The sequence below is a fragment of the Homo sapiens genome, chromosome 9, assembly GCF_000001405.40.
Source record: "Homo sapiens chromosome 9, GRCh38.p14 Primary Assembly".
Classification (NCBI taxonomy): domain Eukaryota; kingdom Metazoa; phylum Chordata; class Mammalia; order Primates; family Hominidae; genus Homo; species Homo sapiens.
This window is the reverse complement of record NC_000009.12, coordinates 76,238,648-76,261,530: the sequence shown is the minus strand read 5'-3', so window position 1 is coordinate 76,261,530 and position 22,883 is coordinate 76,238,648. Positions and strand designations below refer to the sequence as shown.

Here is a 22,883-nt window from a genome sequence, read left to right as displayed (position 1 = left end):
GGGGGTTATTGTGAATGGGATTCCATTCTTGATTTGGCCCTCAGCTTGAACATTATTGCTGTGTAAAAATGCTACTGATTTTTGTACATTGATTTTCTATCCTGCAGCTTTACCAGAGTCATTTTTCAGTTCTTAGAGCCTTTTGGCAGTGTCTTTAGGGTTTTCTAGGTATAGAATCATATCATCCGCAAGGAGAGATACTTTGACTTCTTTTCCTATTTGGAGAAAGGCAACGGTTTATTTTTAATAAAGTTTCTCATTTGGGATTGTCCTGATGTTTCCTCATGTGTAAACTCAAGTTTAGCATCTGCAGCCAAACTACTACATGGGTCATGTGCCTTTCTTAAGACATCACCTCAGGAAGCACCCAGTGTCCATCTGTACCTCTTTAGTGTTGTTAATCTGTACACTTGGTTTTGCATGTCAGAAATTTCCTCTAATTGCTATCCAGCACAACACCTGGACCTTGAAGGTGGTGAATAATTCTTGTAAGGCAACTAAGAGTAAACGTCTTCAGGATAGGCATGAAATGGAGTTTCAGAATTCAAAGCTCAGCATCAAGGCAGGAAGAGGTTATTGATATAATATAATGATATTAATAAATACCCCATTAATAATATTTATAAGAAATGCTCACATTTATTGAGCCCTTCCCATGTGCCAAGTACTTTATTACATAGTTTAAATGTAATAGTTAAATAGTTTTCTATTGCTGCCATAACAAATTTCCATAAATTTAGCAGCTTAAAACATAAAAATTTATTATGTCACAGTCCTGTAGGTTAGAAGTCTGGTAGAGATCTCAATGGGCTAAAAGCAGAGTGGCAGCAGGGCTGGGTTCCTTCTGAAGGCTCTGGGAAAGGATCTGTTTCCTCATTCAGTTGGGCTGTTGACAGAATTCGGTTCTTTGCAGTTGTAGGCCTGAGATATCCATTTATTCATTTCCTTGCTAGCTATCAGCTGAGGGTTGTATTTGGCTTTTAGATGCCACCTGCATTTTTTGGCTTGGGGCATCTCTTCTGCCAGCTTCACGGCTATCAGTGATGGTTTCTCTCCTGTCTCGTCTGTCTTTCTGACTGCAGCTGGAAAGGTTCTCCACTTTAAAGATTCATGAGCTCAGATTGAGTCCACTTAGCTAATTCAGAATAATCTCCCCATCTCAAAATCTTTAACCTTAATCTCATCTTCAAAGTCCTCTTGCTGTGTAGGGTTACATATTCATAGGCTCTGAGGATTTGAGCATGGACATCTTTTGGGGGCCTATTATTCTGCCTACTACAGATGGATTATCTCATTTAATACTCCCACCAATACTGTGAGACAGATATGGAAATTATCCTCCATTTACATGAGGAGTCTGAGGCTTAAGTGAGTTTCCCCAAAGCACACAACTAGCCTCTTACAGCTGAGCCAGGATTAATTTCTAACAGAAGGATTTATCTAAGCTGGGAGATTTAAAATTTTACTTTAGCAGCAGAATCCTTTACCAAATGAAAACTTATGAAAAATCAAATACACCTAACAAGATGAAAGCAAAGCTGTCCTGGCTAAATAGGGAGAAGTGGATGGTGAGGAAGAGAAAGGGCTTCACAGAAGAGAGGCGGCAAGCTGCTGATTTGGGCCACTGGTCCAGTCCAGTCCCCTCTGCTTCCAGATGAGGGAGGGAGACCCATAGACTGGGTTGAAACGACTCACCTGAGGTGAGCCCTGAGACTGAAGTATGGCTCTTCCATGCTCCACAAGGGCGCTTTCAAATCATTCACCATAGATTTACCTGTGAGGACGCTGACATTGACTTGGTTGAACATTATGGATGTTCAACCAAGCATGTTCAACCATATGCTTACCTGCATGTGGTAAGCATGATTCAAGGAGCTGATGAAACAACAGTAAATAGAATCGATCAAGTCTCTGCCTGCCTGGAAGTTACATTTTAAGTGAGGGAAGAAATACGACACACAGATATTAAAAGTCAATAAAACATCAAAATATCAGATACTTATATCTGATCTGCTAGAATTAAAGTAGGATGACTGAAGTGAGTGTGTGTGTGTGTGTGTGTGTGTGTGTGTGTAGTGTAGACAGAGAGGGAGGGAGGCTGAATTGGGTGCTGAGGATAAGCCTCTTAGGAGCTGACATTTAAACTGAGATGTGATGACAGGAAGGACCCAGCCACATTGGTATCTTGGGAAAAACATTCCAAGTAGAGGGAATAGCTAGTGCAGGGCCCTGGGGCAAGAATGGGCTACAGCAATCATGACTAGGGCCCTGCAGTGTAGCTGGAGAGGGAGGTGAGGAACAAGAGGTAGACACTGAGGCCAGAGATGTGCAGGAGACTAAAGTTAATAAGGCTCTTTTGAAAAAAGTACACATCTGTCAGTCATCAAGCATTATCTACTAGTTCTAGCTTCAGACAGACATATTATAGAATTCCCAAGGAAAGGATCACTGGCTTCTTGGCAGAGTAAAAGCATCATGCGCCATCATATGAGGTGTTTGTTAATTGGGCATAGCTCTGATGCTCTCCCTGGTTGCTTGCTAGGGTCCCAAGTGGCCCATCCCACTAATGCACATTTGGGCACATGATGTGACAGTTGGACAATGGCTTTGGGTAACTGTCATTAGCCACGTGCACCATGGCAAAGTGAAGTTGTTACTGACTTCATGGTTCGGATTTCCATTTCAACATTCAAGGGGGTAAATGACCGTACTCACTCTCAAGGAATAATTGACATAATTTATCTTTAAAATCTCAGTAGGTCAAACTTCCCATTTGTAAAACTTTCCAGTTGCTCCTTTGCCGAGCACATAAGATGAATTTACTTCTGAGCTGAGTTCTTGCATGCCAAATTTTTACAGCCTTAAATATAGTATTTTATCACTATTATAAATGGTTCTTGACTTACCTCCCACAGACCCTTTAGGGCTGAAGGCAAGAGGTCTCCCTAATTCACTTGTTTCAATTCATGTAAGATTTCTAAGTTGAAGCCAGGTCATTTGGATAATATTTCAAATGTACAGGCTGTATTTCTGCTGAACACAATAAATCTGAAATTTTACAATTAGCTTGGGCAGCTAGCATGATTGCACTAGGCTTTCCAATAAGCACCCCTTCAAAAGAACTTTCCTTCTCTCTCAAGACTCACCTCCAAACCTGACCCAAAGGCTCAATGTCATCACTCAAATGCTGGGGTCATGGTAATCTGGAGCCTATATTTTTGGGTTGATTTTATTTTTCCAGTGGAAGATCCAGGTTACTAGCAATTATTTGAGGGCATAAAATTCTACCATGATGATAAATTAGGCTGTCAGCTCTTTCTGGTCCATATCAGAGGTTGGAGAGACTGATAAACTTTTCTATTCTAATGTTCTACCACCTACCCCTCTGGAGATAATGCCATGTCTGTGCTCTTGCCCTGGTGATCTGATTGAGTGGGGACTGTTCTCCCAGTGTCCCCAGGGCCCTCCCTGTACCTGGGAGCTGTGGAAAAGGGAGCTGAGAGGTAGACATCCTTGGGTTACCTGCCTGGTTCATACAAAACAATATTCACTTGTCTCACCTAATAATGGATAGTTTATAGCTAGTCAGAACACACTGTCTTTATGGAAAACATATACATATAGGAAAACATATATACATAAAGGAAAGTTGGTTGCTACAGATAGTCACAGGCACAGCTGCGAGGAAAAAAGTTTTGATTGACCCAGTCACATCATCCATGAGAACATGACTAAGGTTTGGAGAGGTCAGCCTGGATACCCCTTGCCTTCCACTGCTTCAATTTGGGGTACTTGGCCAAAGGGTGATCAGTGAGGCATGGCCCTGTCCAGATCCTGCCCCTGGAACTGGTCCTTCTCCAGCTTGCCGCAGCGTTTAGTCCCCGTTCTGCTTCTGACGGCCCCGGCTGGCCCACTGTGCTGGAAGCTGAACTGGAGGCTGCGGGGAGGACTGGAGCCAAATTTTCCCTGGTGGGAGGTGCAGAGAGACTTTGTGGAAAGGATGAGTCTGGATGCCTACCAAATTACCCTCCTGTTGACTTTTGGAAAGCAGGAATTTCAGGCTCTAGAGGTGCAGAGGCAATTTACTGACACTCATCGTTGGCCCAACTCTCAGTTGGAGACCAGCCTGTTGAGCAGCTGGGTATCAACATGCAGATGCTCCTGTCTTATCCACACACAGCATCTCTCTATTCTGGTGTCTGCTCTGTGACTTAAATCAATTTTTTTTTTCTCCTCAACCAGTGGAGCTTGAAGCTCTTCCTACCATCTATGAAATAGCAGTTTGGTTGTGGCATAGGGAGATGGAGAGTTGGGGGGTGAGATGAGGACAGATAATAACAGGCACAGAAGTCACAGATAGTTACTGAGTGCCTCCCTGTTGACAGGCACTGTGCTAAGTGCTGTGACACAGTGGTGCATGTCAGACATGTGGCTTCAGATACACCAACAGGCTTCTCAGAAAAAGGGTGAACGTAGAGAGAAAGCAAATTAAATTCTGTTTTGATATTCACAATAGAGCCTCTTGGTTCCTCTCTCTTGAAGAACTCAAGATATGAGCACCTTTCTAGTTTTCATCATAATCTCTAGGGACCTATTAGGAGGTACAAGGAAGGCAATTTATGTGATGCTTTCCTTTATAAAACAGGATAGAATTAAGAAACAAAAAATGTAAAGGGCTTGCCCAAGATTTTCACTGTGTTAAGGGAAGGATGGAAATGAATAGAGACTAAGATTTCTGACTCAATTTTCCACACTCCTGCAAAACTAAATGAGACCTAACCATCTGAAGTTCTAGTCACTACTGCCAGACTCATTTTTATTTTTCTTTAAGCGTGATGAACAGGCACGAGCTGGGGTCTTGATTGACTAAGGGTTTCAGAAAAATCGAAGATATTTCACTAAAAGGAAGTAATTTGGCAATGATTTTCCAGGTTATTATTCCTAATCATGCAGAATCATTCTCACTGGTTTCCAGATTCATCTGTAAAGGTGAATCCATCCCTCCAGCTCAACTGCCCTTGGACGTTTAATGTCACAGACCCCACATTGCTTTCGAGACTGGCAGACGGTCTTCTGAACCCTCCACCCTGTGTGTCCGGCTCGACCACACTCCGCTTTTGTTTAACGAGGTTTGTTTTGGAAGTACTTGGCTCAGTTCTCTCTGCAAGCTTACGTGATCCAGACAGACTTGGCTCACAGCTCGACTTAGCAGGTCAGTTACACAACAAGTAGGAGGAACTTCGATTATACCCGGCTCCGGGGGAAATAGCGTAATAGCATGAAGAGCCAAGATGATGAGCTAATTGCTCTAGAATTGAACTTAAGATACCTCGCCACTATGTTCTTCTCCCCCATAACTCTAAGAATGTGAGCTTGAATGTTGGAGAAGGAGCAAAGGAAATGTCAGGAGACACAACTAAGGAACAGAGAATGTAATCAAGAATGAAACAAATGCAGCAGACCAACCTTTGCACAACTTTCATTTATGTTCTTTAGGAAAATAGTGTATGAGTGCAGTCTACTTTGGAAAAAGAGCAACTATTTGGTTGGTCTGTGGGTTTGGAGCCAGACAGTCCTAAGTCTGAATTTGGCTCTAACACTTGCTAGCTGTGTAACTTTAGGCAAATGACATAAGCTCCCTGGGCATTGGTTTTTTCATCTATAAAATGAGGATAAGGAATTTTTTTCTTCTTTTTGAGACAGGATCTTGCTCCATTGCCCACGCTGGAGTGCCATGGTGCCATCATAGTTCACTGCAGCCTCAGCCTCCCGGGATCAACCAATCCTCCTGCCTCAGCCTTCTAAGTAGCTGGGACTATGGGTGCGTGTAACCGCACCAGGCTAACTTAAAAAAAAAATTTATTTGTAGAAATGGGGCCTTGATGTGTTGGCCAGGCTGGTTTTGAACTCCTGACTTCAAGTGATTCCCCTCACCTGCCACCTTAACTGCCCAAAGTGCTAGGATTACAGGTGTAAGCCACTGAGCCTAGCCTATCATAAGGATTTTGAGCAGAGAGAATTACATTGAAGATTAGAGGTCATGTTTGTAAAATGTCCACCTAGCTGAACAATACATTCTAATATAATGTATCTGCCTCTGTTTCAGCTTCCATTCTCAACACAGTATCTTAAACAGATGTTGAAGTTATCTGTTTCTATATCTATCTTAATCAGTGGCTTTCAACTCTGGTTGCACATTAGAATTAGTCAGGGAGTTTTTTAAAATTATTTTTTTTATTTTTTTGAGAGAGAGTCTTATTCTGTTGCCCAGGCTGGAGTGCAGTGGCATGATCACAGCTCACTGAAACCTCAATTTCCCGGGCTCAGGCAATCATCCCACCTCAGCCTCCCTAGTAGCTGGGACTACAGGTCTGTACCACCACACTCAATTAATTTTTGTATTTTTAGTAGAGATGGGGTTTCACCATGTTGCCCAGGCTGATCTCAAACTCCTGGCCTCAAGTGATCCACCCACCTCAGTCTCCCAAGGTGTTGGGATTACAGGCATGAGCCACCATGCCTGGCCAGGGCGTTTTAAAAAAATACTGATGCCCACACCTCACTCCAGACTAATTAAATTAGAAACATTGGGAGTAGGTATCAGCACCTGCATTTTACAGCTCCGCAGGATCCTAATATGTACCCAGAGCTGAGAACTTCTGGCCTATCGCATTTGCATGTGAGCAGCTTAGGAGCAAAGAACAAGCTTTATTCATCTTTATATCCCCATGTCTAGCCTGATGTAGATGCTCAGGAAATATTTCTTGAATCTAACTCAAAAACTGAGAGATGCTGTTCAGATTCCCAAGACGTGTCTTATATGGGCGAATACATTTTTTAGGCAGCAAACAAAGGCAAGAGACAGCAGCACTTGCTATTGTCACAGTAGGCATTTGAAAAATGACACTAAAGAAGGGTCAAGTTCCTTTTAGCTGACAGCCTACCTATTGACTATAAGGCATTGACCACTGGTCCTCTTCTTGACTCATCAGTTGCCAGAGATAAAAGAAGTGAGATAACAGAATACTTGGGGAAATTTCATCTTTTTTTTTTTTTTAAATAGTGACTTCTTCAAAAGAGTTGCTTTGAGAGAAGAAAAAAGTTAGACATTTCCAAGGTAAGACAATGGACAAGTTCAGAGGAGCAGAAGAGAAATAATTTATTGAAGCATATCGGGCACACATCTGGGACTATTTCATGTACAAACACACAATGTGAAAGCTCAGAATATGCCAGCAACAGTCCCATGACCCATAGTCATTCCCCTGTGAGACTGTCACCATTACACACAATCATTATTTTCTCTCTTTTCTGCAGGCACATGGTAAGATTGCACCTCCCCACTCTCTGATCCCAGGCGTAATCATGTAACTTGCTTTAGCCAAAAATACGTAAGCAGGAGGTACAAGTGCCACATCCTGGAGAAACCTCTAAGAGCCAGTGTCTGCTTTGTGTCTGCCATGGCAAGGTAGTGGCTGCTCTATCAACCTGGTCCTGAATTAAGGATCACACAGAGCAGAGTTCTCAGCTCACCCATGATGAAGATGTAGCATGAGAGAGAAATAAACCTGTGTTGTTTGAAGTCACCGAGATTTGGGAAATACAACCCTGTGTATCCTAGTGTTTACTTATAACAAAGAGCTTCTAAGCCAACTACTTCCTTTGTGAAGACAGGGAGCAAAGTTATGCACAAGGTTGCTCCAAACAAACTGCTTCTGAATTACTCTGTCATTTCCCATATGCATAAAATTGGTCACATTTCAACATTTCTCTAACCCTCAGTTTCCCCATATGTAAAAATTGTTGGGTTGCAGATGTGAAAACACATCACGTACATTAAGCGTGTAGCCTGGTGATGCTTGATAAATATTAGGCTATACAGTCCTATTATATGTGGAATAAACGGAACAAGTGATAGGAAAGCAGAAAGCACAAAAGTACACAATAAATATGTGCCAAATGAATCAATGAAGAAAGCCAGGATGAGTAAGGGACAATGAAACTGCACAATGTCTGCAAGTTCTTCCAACTTTGTGTTCTCTTTTTTAAAGGTTTTATGTCTTCTTAGTACCCATCTGTGAAATGAGGTATCATTTAGACAATGAGGGGGCAGGGAGGCTCTAATGAATACAAAATAGAAACAGTCAGTTTATAATTTTTTTAAAGACAGAACTGTTTAATGGAGCTTGTTTCTCTTATCTTCAGAAGACTATTGACATTGCATTTATATTCTAAACCTTCCTCTGAAGCTGGCTCTGAGTTTGGCCTTAAAAAAAAAAAAAGAAGAAGAAGAAGAGGCATCCTGAATGTCCCTTCCCCATCTGCCCATGGAGACGATGGTCAGTAACTCCCTGGGTCATGCACTAAGGTTGGCTACACAGTGGATGATGCACTAGGTCCCTGAAAAGACGATGCTTTATGAATGCTGAGCAGCGGTTTTACAATCAGCCACTTCCTTCCAATTTAAAGGAGACAAACTGCTGGTATATATTTTATTCTGCAATATATTTGGTTTGGAAGGTACCAAAATGGTTTGACACCGTTCTTGTGCCTCTGAAAGTATGTGGAAATGTTCCAGTGAGAGATCTGAGTAAAAGTGAAATAAATAGCAGTCAATGTCCACAGTATTTAACTTGAAAACCTTGCATATCTGCTGCAATAGCAAATTAAAGAGTGAACTTCATGTCTTCCATATCGCCAATACTTTTTCTATGAACTAGGGTCTCACTTCCTATGGAAAGATGGAGTAGTAAGAGTAAATGAGGTTGGTTCTCTAAGTCCTAGATTTGAAGCTTGAATTTAATGTGGGTTGAGATGAAAAGGGTTAGGGTGTCTTCTGCCAATCACATACTTATAATAGAACCCACTTTCCCACAGAGCACGAAGGTCCTTTGTAGAGGTAAACGAAACTGAAGGAAGGTAAAGTGGTGGGGAGGATGCCACGGCTAACTGAAAATATGCTCACTGACTCTCTCAGTCTTGCTGCTGTAGAGCTCTCCCCTGTGTGCTCAATCCCATCTCAGAACCTTCCAGATGTAGGCCTTGAAGGCTGACAGCTCTAGATGAGCAGTGAACCCAAATTAATTTGCATGACTATGAAGAACAGTGTCACTGTTTGACTGGTTGAGTCAGTTATGTCATTGGGCATGAAGATGTAGCCAAAACTAAATATGATGGCTTTAGTATGAAGGACTGAGGAAAGGGGCAGAAAAGAAGCCTTTCTTTATCTTATTTTTATTATTATTATTATTATTTTTTCTGAGACGGAGTCTCGCTTCTGTCACACAGGCTGGAGTGCAGGGGCACGCGATCGCGGCTCACTGCAAGCTCCGCCTCCCAGGTTCACGCCTTTCTCCTGACTCAGCCTCCCGAGTAGCTGGGACTACAGGCACCCCGCCACCATGCCCGGCTAAGTTTTTGTATTTTTAGTAGAGACGGGGTTTCACCGTGTTAGCGAGGATGGTCTCGATCTCCTGACCTTGGGATCCACCCACCTCGGCCTCCCAAAGTGCTGGGATTACAGGTGTGAGCCACCACGCCCGGCCTCTTTTATCTTTTTATAATTGCAAAAAAGCATAATATTCTGCTCTAGAATCAGAAGGGAAGAACATTAGCTAGTATGATTGGAATGTAATAAAATACATGAGTTTTGGTCTGGGGCTATTCAGGGTCAAGTCCTGATTCTACTAGTTACCAGCCTAGTGAACTTATCCACATTTCTAAATGTTCTGACCTTTATGTCTTCAGCTGAAAAATGAGAACAATAATTATTATATCTATTCCATAGAGTTAAGTCAGGTAATATACTTAAAAAACTTAGTACAGCACCTGGCACATTAGTAAGTATTCAATAAATGCTAGCAATTCAGTTACTGTATTATACAGAATCAGCAAAGAGAATATTAATGGAATCATTCTAATGTTGAAGTACTTTTCTTTTTCTTTCTGTCTTTTTTTTTTTTTTTTTGAGACGGAGTCTCGCTCTGTCACCCAGGCTGGAGTGCAGTGGCACAATCTCGGCTCACTGCAAGCTCCGTCCCTCCAGGTTTAAGCAATTCTCCGTCTCAGCCTCCAGAGTAGCTGGGATTACAGGTGCGTGCCACCACGCCCAGCTAATTTTTTTGTATTTTTAATAGAGACGGGGTTTCACCATCTTGGCCAGGCTGGTCTTGAACTTCTGACCTCATGATCCACCCGCCTTGGCCTCCCAAAGTGCTGGGATTACAGGCGTGAGCCACCGCGCCTGGCCTTCTTTCTTTCTTTAGAGATGGGGTCTAACTCAGTCACCCAGGCTAGAGTGCAGTGGCGTGATCATAGCTCACTGCCGCTTTGAACTCCTGGGCTTAAGTCTTCCTCCCACCTCAGTATCCCAAGCAGCTAGAACTAGAGCCATGCACACCACACCTTGACAATTTTTAAATTTTGTGTACAAATGGTATCTGGCTATGTTGCCCAGGCTGGTCTCGAACTCCTGGCCTGAAGCCATCCTCCTGTCTTGGCCTCCCAAAGTGTTGGGATTACAGGTCTGAGCTACCATGCTTGGACTACTTTTCAAGCCAGATTGATTGAAATACAATTTTCATAGAGTAACATTTGCCCTTTTTATGTGTACAGTTCTATAAATTTTGGCAAATGCTTATAGTCATGCAATCACTCCAACAATCAAGATATAGGACATTTCTAAAACCCCAAATAGCTCTATCAGGCCCTTTATTTTTATTATAATGTGGTTATTACTAACGTAAAGTCCGTAATTTATTCAGCTTTCTTTAGTTTTTACCTAGTGTCTTTTCTCTGTTTCAGAATCCCACCTGAGATGCCACATTACATTTACTCATCATATCTCCTTAGGCTCCTTTCGGCTGTGACAGTTTCTCAGACTTGACTTGTTTAATGAACTGGACAGTTTTGAGTATTAATTGGGTATTTTACAAAATGTCCCTCCGTTGGGATTTGTCTGATATTTTCTTCACTACTAGACTGGGGTCATGGTTTTTTGGCAGAAAGACTATAGAGGTAAAGTGGTTCTCATTACATTGTATCAAAAGTACATTCAATCCATATGATTTATCCCTGGTGATGTTTCCCTTTATCACATGTATGACGTAGTGTTTGTCAGCTTTCTACACTGTAAAGTCCTTCTGCCCCTGCCCTTTCCATACTGTGCTCTTGGATAAAAGTCACAGGTAAGAAGTAGTAGGGAGTGATGCTCCACTTTCTTTCTTATTTTGAGACAGAGTCTCACTCTGTCGCCAGGCTGGGGAGCAGCAGTGCCATCTCGGCTCACTGCAACCTCTGCCTCCCAGGTTCAAGTGATTCTCCTGGCTCAGCCTCCTGAGTAGCTGGGACTACAAGCACGCACCACCACGCCCAGCTAATTTTTGTATTTTTAGAGACAGGGTTTCACCATGTTGGCCAGGATGGTCTCGATCTCTTGACCTTATGATCTGCCTGCCTCAGCCTCCTAAAGTGCTGGGATTACAGGTGTGAGCCACCGTGCCTGGCCTTCACTTTCTTAAAAGAGGAATATTTAAATAAGTTATTTGGTATTCTTTTGCATGAAAGATTTGTCGCCTCCTTCCTATTTACTTATCCACCATTTATTTATATTTGTATGAACTCATGGATACTTATTTTATTCTTTGGGTTATAATCTAATACCATTCTATCTATATTATTGCCCAAATTGTTCCAGCTTAGGCCAGTGAGAGCTCTTCAGTTGGCTCTTGTGTCCCTTTGACATATTTCCATCATTGTGGATTTTTTCCTTTGAGCACCTCCTTACTTTCTGCAGTCAAATGCTTTACCTCTGAGCTATACCCCTTTCTATCCTCCTACATTCTGTCATTACAAGATGCTGCAGGCTCATCCTGTTTATTTCCTGTCCCAGTCCCCAAATCAGCCAATTCTCTAAGGAGCCTTGGTATTGTTTATTGGAGAATGGTATTAGAAACCACAATCAAGGCACTTGTGTTTACTGCTGCTGGGGTATTGTAGCTTCTAAGTCCTTTCTGCTGACAGAGCACTTCAGACATAGAGCACTGTCTCAAAATAAAAATAAAAATACTTCTGCATTTTCTTGATTGTTTTATCTCTTTATTTTTTTAATTCCCTAATTTTCACTTTTCCCCTAATATTGAATTTTCTTTCCAAGTACAGGCCAGTTGTCTTATAGATACCCCACATTCTTGATTTATCTTGTGATTATCTTGAGGCTAAATACGATTTTTCTTGACCTCAGCATTATTGACATTTTGGACTAGGGATTTCTTTGTTGTGGGGGAGCAGTCCTGTGCATCATAGAATATTTAGTAGCATCCTCAACCTCTATCCACCAGATGCAAGTAACAACCTTCCAGTCACGACAATCAAAACTGTCTGAAACATCGACAAGTGTTTCATGGAAGCATAATTGCCTCCAGTTGAAAATCAGTGATCTAGACACTTTTGTCAAGAATACGAGGTGAGGGTTGGGTACGGTGGCTCACACCTGTAATCCCAGTACTTTGGGAGGCCAAGGTGGGAGGACTGCTTGAGGCCAGGAGTTTGAGACTAGCCTGGGCAACATAGCTAGACCCCACCTCTACAAAAAATAAATTAGTCCAGGCTAATAGTGCATGCCTGTAGTCCCAGGAACTTGGGAGTCTGAGCGGGGAGGATCACTTGAGCTCAGGAGCCATGATCAAGCCACTGCACTCAAACCTGGATGACAGGGGGACCCTGTCTCAAAACAAAACAACAAAACAAAAAGAATATGAGGTGATATTATCTACTTGAGTACCACATCAGGAGACATATAATGTCAGGTTTATGGAACTGATAATAGTGATGTTATGTATAATAACTTGTTTAAGTTGGTAACCAGCAAATCTCTTCATTGTAATTAACTATTAATTGTAGTAGTACTTTGAGTCTGTGTGATGATCTTGTTCCATAGCAACTTTCCACCCAGTGTGTTTATATCTACTTATGATTTGATGATTCTCCTTTGGGTTCATATACTAGGGGATGCAAAATGATGATTTCCTAATTCTTTCCTGAAATACATGACAGCTGAACTGTTTCTGTAAAAAAGAGCTTTCCCTTTTATTCTATTCCCCTCTCTCTTCCTTTTTCTTCACTATTGATGCATGGATTTAAAATATTAATTGAGTTGGAATTATCACCCATTTAAAAAAAAATGCTCTAATTGTCCTACATTTGGCTAGTGGGAGTCCATTCACACTACTTACTATGTCATTTGTTATGAATATGTAAAATATTTATCTGGTTCAAATCATAACTAGAAAGATACAGCTAAAGGTTGGGTGCGGTAGATCATGCCTGTAATCCTAGCACTTTGTGAGGCCGAAATGGGAGGATTGCTTGAGGCCAGGAGTTCAAGACCAGCCTGGTAAGTATAGTGCGACCCCATCTCTTAAAAAAAAATTTTTTTAAAAAAGATTAAGGTCGGGAGCGGTGGCTCATGCCTGTAATCCCAGCAATTTGGGAGGCTGAGGCTGGCGGACCACGAGGTCAGGAGTTCAAGACCAGCCTGGCCAACATGGTGAAACTCCATCTCTACTAAAAATACAAAAAATTAGTCAGGTGTGGTGGCAGGTGCCTGTAATCCCAGCTACTTGGGAGGCTGAGGCAGGAGAATTGCTTGAACCTGGGAGGCGGAGGTTGCAGTGAGCCAAGATCACGCCGTTGCACTCCAGCCTGGGCAACAGGGCGAGACTCTGTCTCAAAAAAAAAAAGATTAAAAAATAAAAAGATATAGCTAGTGAAGTCCTGCCCATCTCCTTTACCTTTCTCTATAGGTAACCACTTTCATTAGTTTCTTAGTTATCTTTTTTCTCTTTGCCAAAGTAAATAAAAATGTAAATACACTCATACATTTTATCTCACCATTTTCTTACCACAAAGGTAGTGAGAGACAGGACTAGCTGGATTTCCTAGGCTGACTAAGAATCCCTAAGCCTAGCTGGGAAGGTGACTTCATCCACCTTTAAACATGGGGCTTGCAACTTAGCTCACACCGGACCAATCAGAGAGCTCACTAAAATGCTAATTAGGCAAAGACAGGAGTTAAAGAAATAGCCAATCATCTATCCCCTGAGAGCACAGAGGGAGGGACAATGATCAGGATATAAACCCAGGCATTCCAGCCAGCAACGGCTACACTCTTTGGGTCCCCTCCCTTTATATGGGAGCTCTGTTTCCACTCTATTTCACTCTATTAAATCTTGCAACTGCACTCTTCTGGTCCATGTTTGTTACGGCTCAAGCTGAAGTTTCGCTCGCGTCCACCACTGCTGTTTGCCGCTGTCACAGACCTGCCGCTGACTTCCATCCCTCCAGATCAGGCAGGGTGTCCACTGTGCTCCTGATCCAGCGAGGTGCCCATTGCCACTCCTGATCTGGCTAAAGGCTTGCCATTGTTCCTGCATGACTAAGTGCCTAGGTTCATCCTAATCGAGCTGAACACTAGTCACTGGGTTCCACGGTTCTCTTCCGTGACCCACAGCTTCTAATAGAGCTATAACACTCACCTCATGGCGCAAGATTCCGTTCCTTGGAATCCATGAGGCCAAGAACCTCAGGTCAGAGAACATGAGGCTTGCAACCATTTTGGAAGCGGCCTGCCGCCATTTTGGAAGTGGCCTGCCACCATCTTAGGAGCTCTGGGAGCAAGGACCCCTGGTAATAGTAGCATACTATGTGTACCTTTGTGCCTTGCCTTCCATGTAACAGTGTGTCATGAAATCACCATCAGTTCATACGGATCGTCTTTGCTCTTTTGGTAGCTGCAGAGTGCTCTATTGTGTATATGTACCCCATTCATTCAACCAGTCTTCCATGGACAAGCATTTAGGTTGTTTCTGATAGTTTACTACCACAAGTAACACCACAATAAATAGCATGGTGAATATGCTGTTTTGAATCTGAGGATGTATGTCACCAGGGTAAATTCCTAGAAGGGGTGTTGTGGGGTCCAAGGGTAAATGCATATGGAGTTGTGTTATACTGCCAAATTTCCTTCAACAGCCATTGTACCATTTTGTCTTCCCACCAGGAAGCAATAACAGTGGTGATTGCTTTCCTACAACCTTGCCTATAGAACTTGTAAGCTTTTGAATTTTTGCCAGTCTGATAAATTAGAAATGGTATCTCACGGTAGTTTTTTTTTTTTTTTTTTTTTTTTTTGAGATGGAATCTCGCTCTGTCGCCCAGGGTGGAGTGCAGTGGCGCAATCTCAGCTCACTGCAACTTCTGTCTCCTGGGTTCAAGCGATTCTCCTGCCTCAGCCTCCCAAGTAGTTGGGACTACAGGTTTGAGCCATCATGTTCAGCTAATTTTTGTATTTTTAGTAGAGACGGGGGTTTCACCATGTTGTCCAGGATGGTCTCAAACTCCTGAACTCAAGTGATCTGCCCGCCTCGGCCTCCCAAAGTACAAAGTGCTGGGATTACAGGCGTGAGCCACTGCGCCAGGCCTCTCACAGTTTTAATTTGCATTTCCCATACAGTGAACAAGCATCTTTTTCTTATGCTTGAAGGCCATTTGTTTCATGTGATTTTTAAAAACATCTCTCCCTCTGTCCTCATAATTTCCTGGCTATCACTTTAGATTTGTCTGCTTTATTTTATATCTGGATTTCTGAAATAGTCTTCTGGCTGGTTTATCTACTAAAGCCTCTCTCCCTTTAATTATCCTGAACACAGTTAACGCAATAACCAAATTAACTTCTTAATACCCCCTTCAAGACACCCACTCTCCCACTTCTGTTTTTAGAAGAACCTTCAATGATTCTCTTTTAGTCACAGAATACTTTTAACCTCATTAGTCTGGAATTCAAGATTTTGTTTTCAACCACTTCCCCAAACTTCTCTTTGCCTATTTCCTTATATTTCCTCATTCCTTCTGCAAAATTAGTATACTTGGTGTCTCAAAATCCATAGCAGAAGCCTTTTTTTCCTGCTATTGTCCAAATATAAAGACCCCCTATAGTACAGCTCTTCTCTCTTATCTGTCTAAATTCTATGTAAACACTAATGTTCACCTCAACTCCCATCTTCTTAAAAGCCTTCCTTGAACACTTCAGTGCCCAGAGGTTCTCTTTTTTTAAAAAATCCTTTTGGTGCATATATTTGTCCCCTTATTTGGCAGTGAATTTATATAGCCTTTCTCTTTTTTTTGCAATTCCTTACAATTTTTAAATTTGGATATGTTTTATCCCAAGAGTGGAGACAGCCATTTCAATCTGCAAATACCGATACATTTTCATGATCTCTTTCTAAGTTAAAACAAGGGCACATTAACCACTATATTTATTGATGAGGTAGAAAAGTAAGAACAACTTATGTAATTTGATTAAAATCAATCATCAAGTCAATGGTATATAATCTAAGATGTCTGGATCTCAGGTTATAGTTAAGAGTCATAGCTATTGCTACATTCCCTAAATTAAAACAAACAAACAAACAAAAAATGTGCCTCAAAACATTAGGTAAAAGTTACTCCATTTACTTCTATCCTCAGCTAGTGAAGAAATATAATTTAAAACTTAGATTTATCTTAGTAGTTAAAATTTCCATTCAGGATACTGGTTAGAAAGAGAAAGAATTGACATCAAATATTCTTGGAGCAGAATAGTATTATATAAAATGTTATCTATTTGTTTACAACTTGACAAAGAAGAGAAATCGAATCTCATAATTTAAAAAATCCTTATTTCGTCTCAAAGTATTTAATTCAACACTTTCTTCCAGACGAAACAATCATTTTTGGTCATGAGTTTAGTTTTCTGCCCCCTTTTTGGTAATCTTTCCTTGGAATAACAGATAGCTAGGTCCACCCAGGAAATAGATGAGATTCTAGTTAATCTGGAATTTGAGGGTTTTTTTTGTTAGGTATAAAAGATAGATATTAATGTTCACTAAATAGCTGGAAAGGAATACAAAGCTAAAAAAAAAAAAAAAAAACCCCAGGATTTTCAACAGCTAATTATTACATAATGTAGATGAAATGTCTCACAATAACTGATTTCACTTTTCTCTGACTCCCCTAGAGATCGTCTAGACCTGGCCCAGAGGTGAATCTACATTATTAAAATGGAATAAAGTTAAGTTCTCTCCAAAGGATGATGTCCCTTCTCACAGGAGGAATCTTGGGGAAATCTATAGTAAATTATTCAAATTTTTCAAGTTTGTATTTATCTCTTTAAAATTATAAAACTTAAACCATGGTCTGATCAAAGCTTCCTTATAGTTCTAATAGTTCATGAAAAATCATTTTTTAATTTTAAATATTTATTTATTTAGAGAAAGGATCTTGCTCTGTTGCCCAGGCTGGAGTGCAGTGGCATGAATACGGCTCACTGCAGCCTTGACTTCCCAGGCTCAGGTGATCCTCCCACCTCAACTTCCTGAGTAGCTGGGACCACAGGTGCATGCCATCACACTTGGCTAGTTTTCTGTATTTTGTTGTAGAGACAGGGTTTCACCATGCTTCCCAGACTGGTCTCAAACTCCTGGGCTCAAGTGATCTGCCCACCTTGGCCTTTCAAAGTGCTGGAATTATAGGCGTGAGCCATTGCACTTGGCCAAAATCATTTATTTTTGTATTGTATGGTTTATTTTTTCTTCTTCTTGGTTCATAAACAAAGTTTGATTAGAGAAAACAGCAAATCTAAGACCCTGGGTATCCTAAGCCATTCATCTCTGCTTTGAATTTGGGCAATTCTCAAATTCAATTCAACAAACATTCATGCATTAATTCATATTTATTATGTCCTGGGCACTCTGCTAGTTCAGAGCATATAAGTCAAAGAGCTTGTTCTCAGGTAGTTTAGTGTCCAGGCAGAAAGGTGTATACATAGCAAATATTACACTAGTCACCTCTAAAAGGTATTCTCGCTGGCCTAACAAAGGGAAACTAGAAAAGGGAGAATTTATTCTATTGGAGAGATCAACAAAGGGTTCAGAAATAAGGTGACAATTGGGTTCAGCCAAGTCTATCCAAGAATAAATGAGGCCCAATACATACAGATATTATAAATTAAGGGCATTTTAGAATTTAAAATGAGAAATTAGAGGTATTTAGAATGGTCTTGTCACCCTTTCTGGTGGTGTCACTGCACTTTATACCTGTCTCTACTCTGGCAGGTTGTCTTCTAAGAGGTTTCATTCCAGGTGTATCACTTGGGACAGATCCTGCTATCCCTTATAGTAGGATCACAGCCATATCACCTTTGAAATTCTCCCCATCAAGGCGAGCACTCAGCACACAGTAGACAAAGTTTCTTAAGTAATGAATGGACTGAAGAGCTTAATAGTGCTTTGTAAAGTAAATCAAGTAAATCAAACTTCCTAATCTATCTTTTTTTGCAAGGTGAGTCTTTTGGATTTTGAGTCCCCAGAGGGTCAGTGTCTGCTGTGGAGTCCATTTCCAGTGACTTCCCCTTGGTCTCATCTTTAGCTGGGTCAGCTAAGTGGAGAATGAGGCCAATGCGAACACCTAGTGACCATGGTTTTCTTGTCACTGTTCCCACCTCCATGATAAGATCCTCACTGAACCTGAAGGAGTTCACACACATTCATACATTCCTGTCAAGGTGTCTTGAAGCTATGGAAGGAAGATCTTCTTTTCTCTATGTGTATCTTGCTGGGTAGACTTGCCCCACTCTCATCACTGAGCAGAGCCAAGAGAGCCCAAACCTCAGATTTTAGATTACACACAACCCGCCTCCAAGATGCACAAAGATGCTAGTATGGGCACACAACACACAACAGCAAAGATGCCAGAGAAGACCACAGAAATTAGCTGGGGTGTGAAACTTAATGGGAAAATACATCTGAAATGGGCAAACAGTGAAATCAAGATAATCAAAACATTCATCATTGCTCTGTGCAAACTCATCTTCTATCACTTCACATGAGACAGACACTGGAATTTGCTTATAGTTTTTTACTTCAGTACTTTTATTATTTATGCCTAGGTTTATTTTTTGCTTCCCAGGTAATTAGCATTTTACCCTTAAATATCTGACTCTAAATTTTATCTTCTTCTTAAGTGTTTATTAACTTTATTATGAGATTTTATTATCCAGTAATATAAGCATCATTTTATAGTGGAAGATAATGGGGCAATGGTATTTAAGCTTCCAGAAACTGTATTTTCTAGTTACAGATATTATAGAAAATGTATCTTTTCCATTTAAGGCAAAGAGTGGTGGTGATAGCCACAATATAAATTATAATTCATATATAATATTTAAGTATTAATTTCAAATTAGCTCAAAGAGAAGATTTAGAATATTCCTAGCACAACGAAATGATAAATGTGTGAGGTGATGATATACCAGTTACCCTGACTTGATCATCACACATCATATGCAAATATCAAAGTATCACATGTATCCCCTAAATATGTAAAACTATTATGTATTAGTAAGAAAAAAATTAAGAAAATCCATTGGGTAAGGCAAATAAAAAGTCTGCTTTATTCTGGCACAATCTTACCCCTAGTAACTTCATGAGTGTTCTATAGAACAGCATTAGCCTCACTGGGCAACTTGTCAGAAACACAAATCCTCAGGCCCACCTTAGATCAGTGAATCAGAATCTGCATTTCAACAAATTCCCCAGGTGATTTGTGCCCACGTTGAAGTTTTAGAAGCTTCAGTGGTTGATTAGTCAACCAATCCCAGGGCTTCATGGAAGTTCCATGAAGACAAATTATTCCATGAACTTTTCAGTTGAGTTTCCTTTCAAAGATCACACATGCTAATTATTTTTTATATGTTGCCTAAACGTACATTAAGAAACAATCCTGGAATTCAGTAACCTCCCTATTTTTCATTTTATCGCCAATGCAATGGTGCCATGTGGTTAACAAACTGTCTCCATCATCTCCTGCAGGCATGTGAGAAGGGAAGAAAGAAGGAGCCACTGACTTGAATTAAAGAGTTACATGTGAGAGTGACAAGTGCTTTGCATTGCATGATGGGGAATTCAACTCCACTGTTACCACGATGCTTGATTCTCTAAGGGTTGTCTTAGGCTCCAAGCAACAGAGTCATTTTTATTTTCATTTTTATTGTTTTAAGATGGAGTCTGGCTCTGTCGCCCAGGCTGGAGTGCAATGGCACGATCTTGGCTCACTGCAACCTCTGACTCCTGGGTTCAAGCAATTCTCCTGCCTCAGCCTCCCGAATAGCTGGGATTACAGGTGCCTGCTACCACATCCAGCTAATTTTTGTATTTTTAGTAGAGATGGGTTTTCACCATGTTGGACAGGCTGGTCTCGAACTCCTGACCTCAGGTGATCCACCCACCTTGGCCTCCCAAAGTGCTGGGATTACAGGCATGAGCCACTGTGCCCAGCCCAACAGAGTCATTTTTATAAAGGAAACCCCCCCTCCCTCTACCCACAAACTTCTGTGTTTTACACATCAAGTGAGTTAGAGGAATTAGGCATTTCTTTGCTTGAGTTCATTCACTGTTAATCTTCCAAATGTGTCACCTTGAGAAGCTAAGGAGAGGCTGAGTCTCAGGCACCTGAAATGCGGTTGCTGGTCAGTAAGCCCCAACAACTCATTGACAACCAGAGGAAAAGGTGCCATGGCCTCCTTTTCTAAACTTGAGTTTCATAAAGACAAGAAACCCATTCATTGCTTCAAAAGCAAGTATTTCCTCACAGTGATCCTGTTTGTATTGAAGAAAGCCTACTTAAGACGTTGATGGTGTCACTGAGGCTGACAGCAATGACAAGAGTGCCTGCTGGGGCAATGACAGGATGAAGATGTGTGGAAAAGGACTTAGCTATTTCAACTCTTTAGGTGACAAAGGAAGAGGACATACCCAAGCTGCATCCCAGACATCCTTCTTCACAAGGGACACATTCTTCATAGTCTGGGTCTTGGACTTCACCTACACAGACAGAGAAGTGAAAAACACAACTCATTTCCATTGAGTGGAGACACGTTAATTGCTACAAAAATATGTTCGTGTGTAGCTTATTTTAAAGTAAATCATAGAGCAATTATGAAGCCCAAAACCGTCCTCGAGGATATATGTGGTTTCTACTTTTTAATCTCCTTCTATTAATTGAATAGATTGAATCAGCTTGATTGGGTACAAAGAGAACCAGGTTGGACCATATGCCATGCAGCTCATTTTGAAGTCAAGCTCATTGATTTTATTTATTAAAGAAGCCAGCTCTGCTTCTGGGAAAATGGAATTGGGTATGTAAATGAACAGGTTCTTTTTCTCTTTCTATCTGTGCTACTAAACACTTTTTAAAAAAGTTTAAAATCTTTTACTACATTCATAAACATTAAGGAGAAACAGAATTGAGTGTCTTAATTATGCTAAAAATGTCTTGGAGCTCTCTTCAGCACCAGACCGGGCATAATTCTTATACAGAGCAGGGCAATAACAGTCCGTGGCATTCTTACATAGAAGAGAGCCGAAACTATAAGTGTTGTTTTTTAATTTCCTTCTTCCCATAAAAGATAAGAAACTGGGCAATAACAATAACACATACGATTCACAGAACATTTTAATATTTTCAAGTGGTTTTAGGCTGGTCCTCACTGGCTTCTCAAAGCCACTCTGTCTTGATGCTGTGCTCTTCCTTTGACAGATGAAGACACCAAGGCATGGGCAAATTAGATGAGTTTTGCCTAGGGTCTCATGTCTAGTAATTGGGAAGGAGAAAACTGTTGACCCAGACTTTTGGATTCGAATTTTATTTTCTCTCACCTATATCCTGTCCACAATCCCCCCACCCGCCAAGATCATTTTCTTTTTCTTTCTTACTTTTCTTTTTTTTCTTTTTTTTTTTTTTTGAGATGGAGTCTTGCTCTGTCTCCCAGGCTGGAGTGCGGTGGTGTGATCTCGGATCACTGCAACCTCTGCCTCCTGGGTTCAAGCCATTCTCCTGCCTCAACCTCCTGTGTAGCTGGGATTATAGGCATGCAACACCAAGCCTGGCTAATTTTTGTATGTTTAGTAGAGACAGAGTTTCACCGTGTTCCCCCAGGCTGGTCTCGAACTCCTGGCCTCAAGTGATCCACCTGCCTCAGCCTCCCAAAGTGCTGGGATTACAGGCATGAGCCACTGCACCTGGCCAATTTTCTATACACTTAAGTGCATTCCTATGACCTTGGATTATATCTGAGGAAACCCAGAGAAAGGGTGTGTGAACAGAGAGGGAGAGAGAAAGTTACCTCTCTCCCCACTAGGGTTGGGAGTCACCCAAAATCATCCCAAGTGCTGACATGCAAGCCAGGAAGGCAATTCAAGTCTCCAGGACATCCAGGGTGCAGCCCCTCCTCCCATGTTCGGGTGCTGGGCAAGGGCCCAGGAGCAGGCTTACCTTGTCCACACTCTAACTTCTGGCATGTGTGGTTGGTGGGCGCTATGAAGTAGCCCTTCATGCATCTTGTGCAGACATGCACGCTGTGGCAAAGCTCACAGTTGTCTGGGCAGGGCAGGCAGGTGTTCCCCTCAGTGGCATAGTGGCCCTCTGGGCAGCTATCTCCACACTCTCCCTGGTACAGGAAGTGCTCTCGGCCATAGTTGTCTGATCAGTTACAGGGGCAACGAAAAGAGGGAAAATGTACAAAGTTAGCCATGAAGCTATTATAATGTAAGATATTATATTTTAAAAAGATGCGACTGAGTGCTTTTTTTTCCTAGTGGATGAGGGGTGTAAGGATGGATTTAATGAAAAGTGCAATAGCTACATCCTTGTAGTTGAGAAGTTTTCCTTGCAGGGAATTATTTTCCAATATTTTATATATTTCAGTGAACAGCGACTACTATCTGGGATGTCATTGCAAAATGATGCTCTGTGAATAACTACAATTCACATTGTGTTTAACTACAATTCAA

General features: G+C 41.4%; 1 protein-coding gene across 5 annotated transcripts in view; it reads right to left on the bottom strand.

Moving 5' to 3' along the window:
* The window catches only part of PCSK5 (proprotein convertase subtilisin/kexin type 5), a 473,167-nt gene that overhangs the window by 101,445 nt on the left and 348,839 nt on the right, over positions 1 to 22,883 (bottom strand). For all 5 annotated transcript variants that reach the window (XM_047423454.1, NM_001372043.1, XM_011518769.4 and 2 more), the window contains 2 exons: positions 22,366 to 22,572; positions 20,847 to 20,915 (listed from right to left, as the gene is read on the bottom strand). In XM_047423454.1, the coding sequence (XP_047279410.1) occupies positions 20,847 to 20,915; positions 22,366 to 22,572 (276 nt within the window). The remainder of the gene's footprint in view (positions 1 to 20,846; positions 20,916 to 22,365; positions 22,573 to 22,883) is intronic.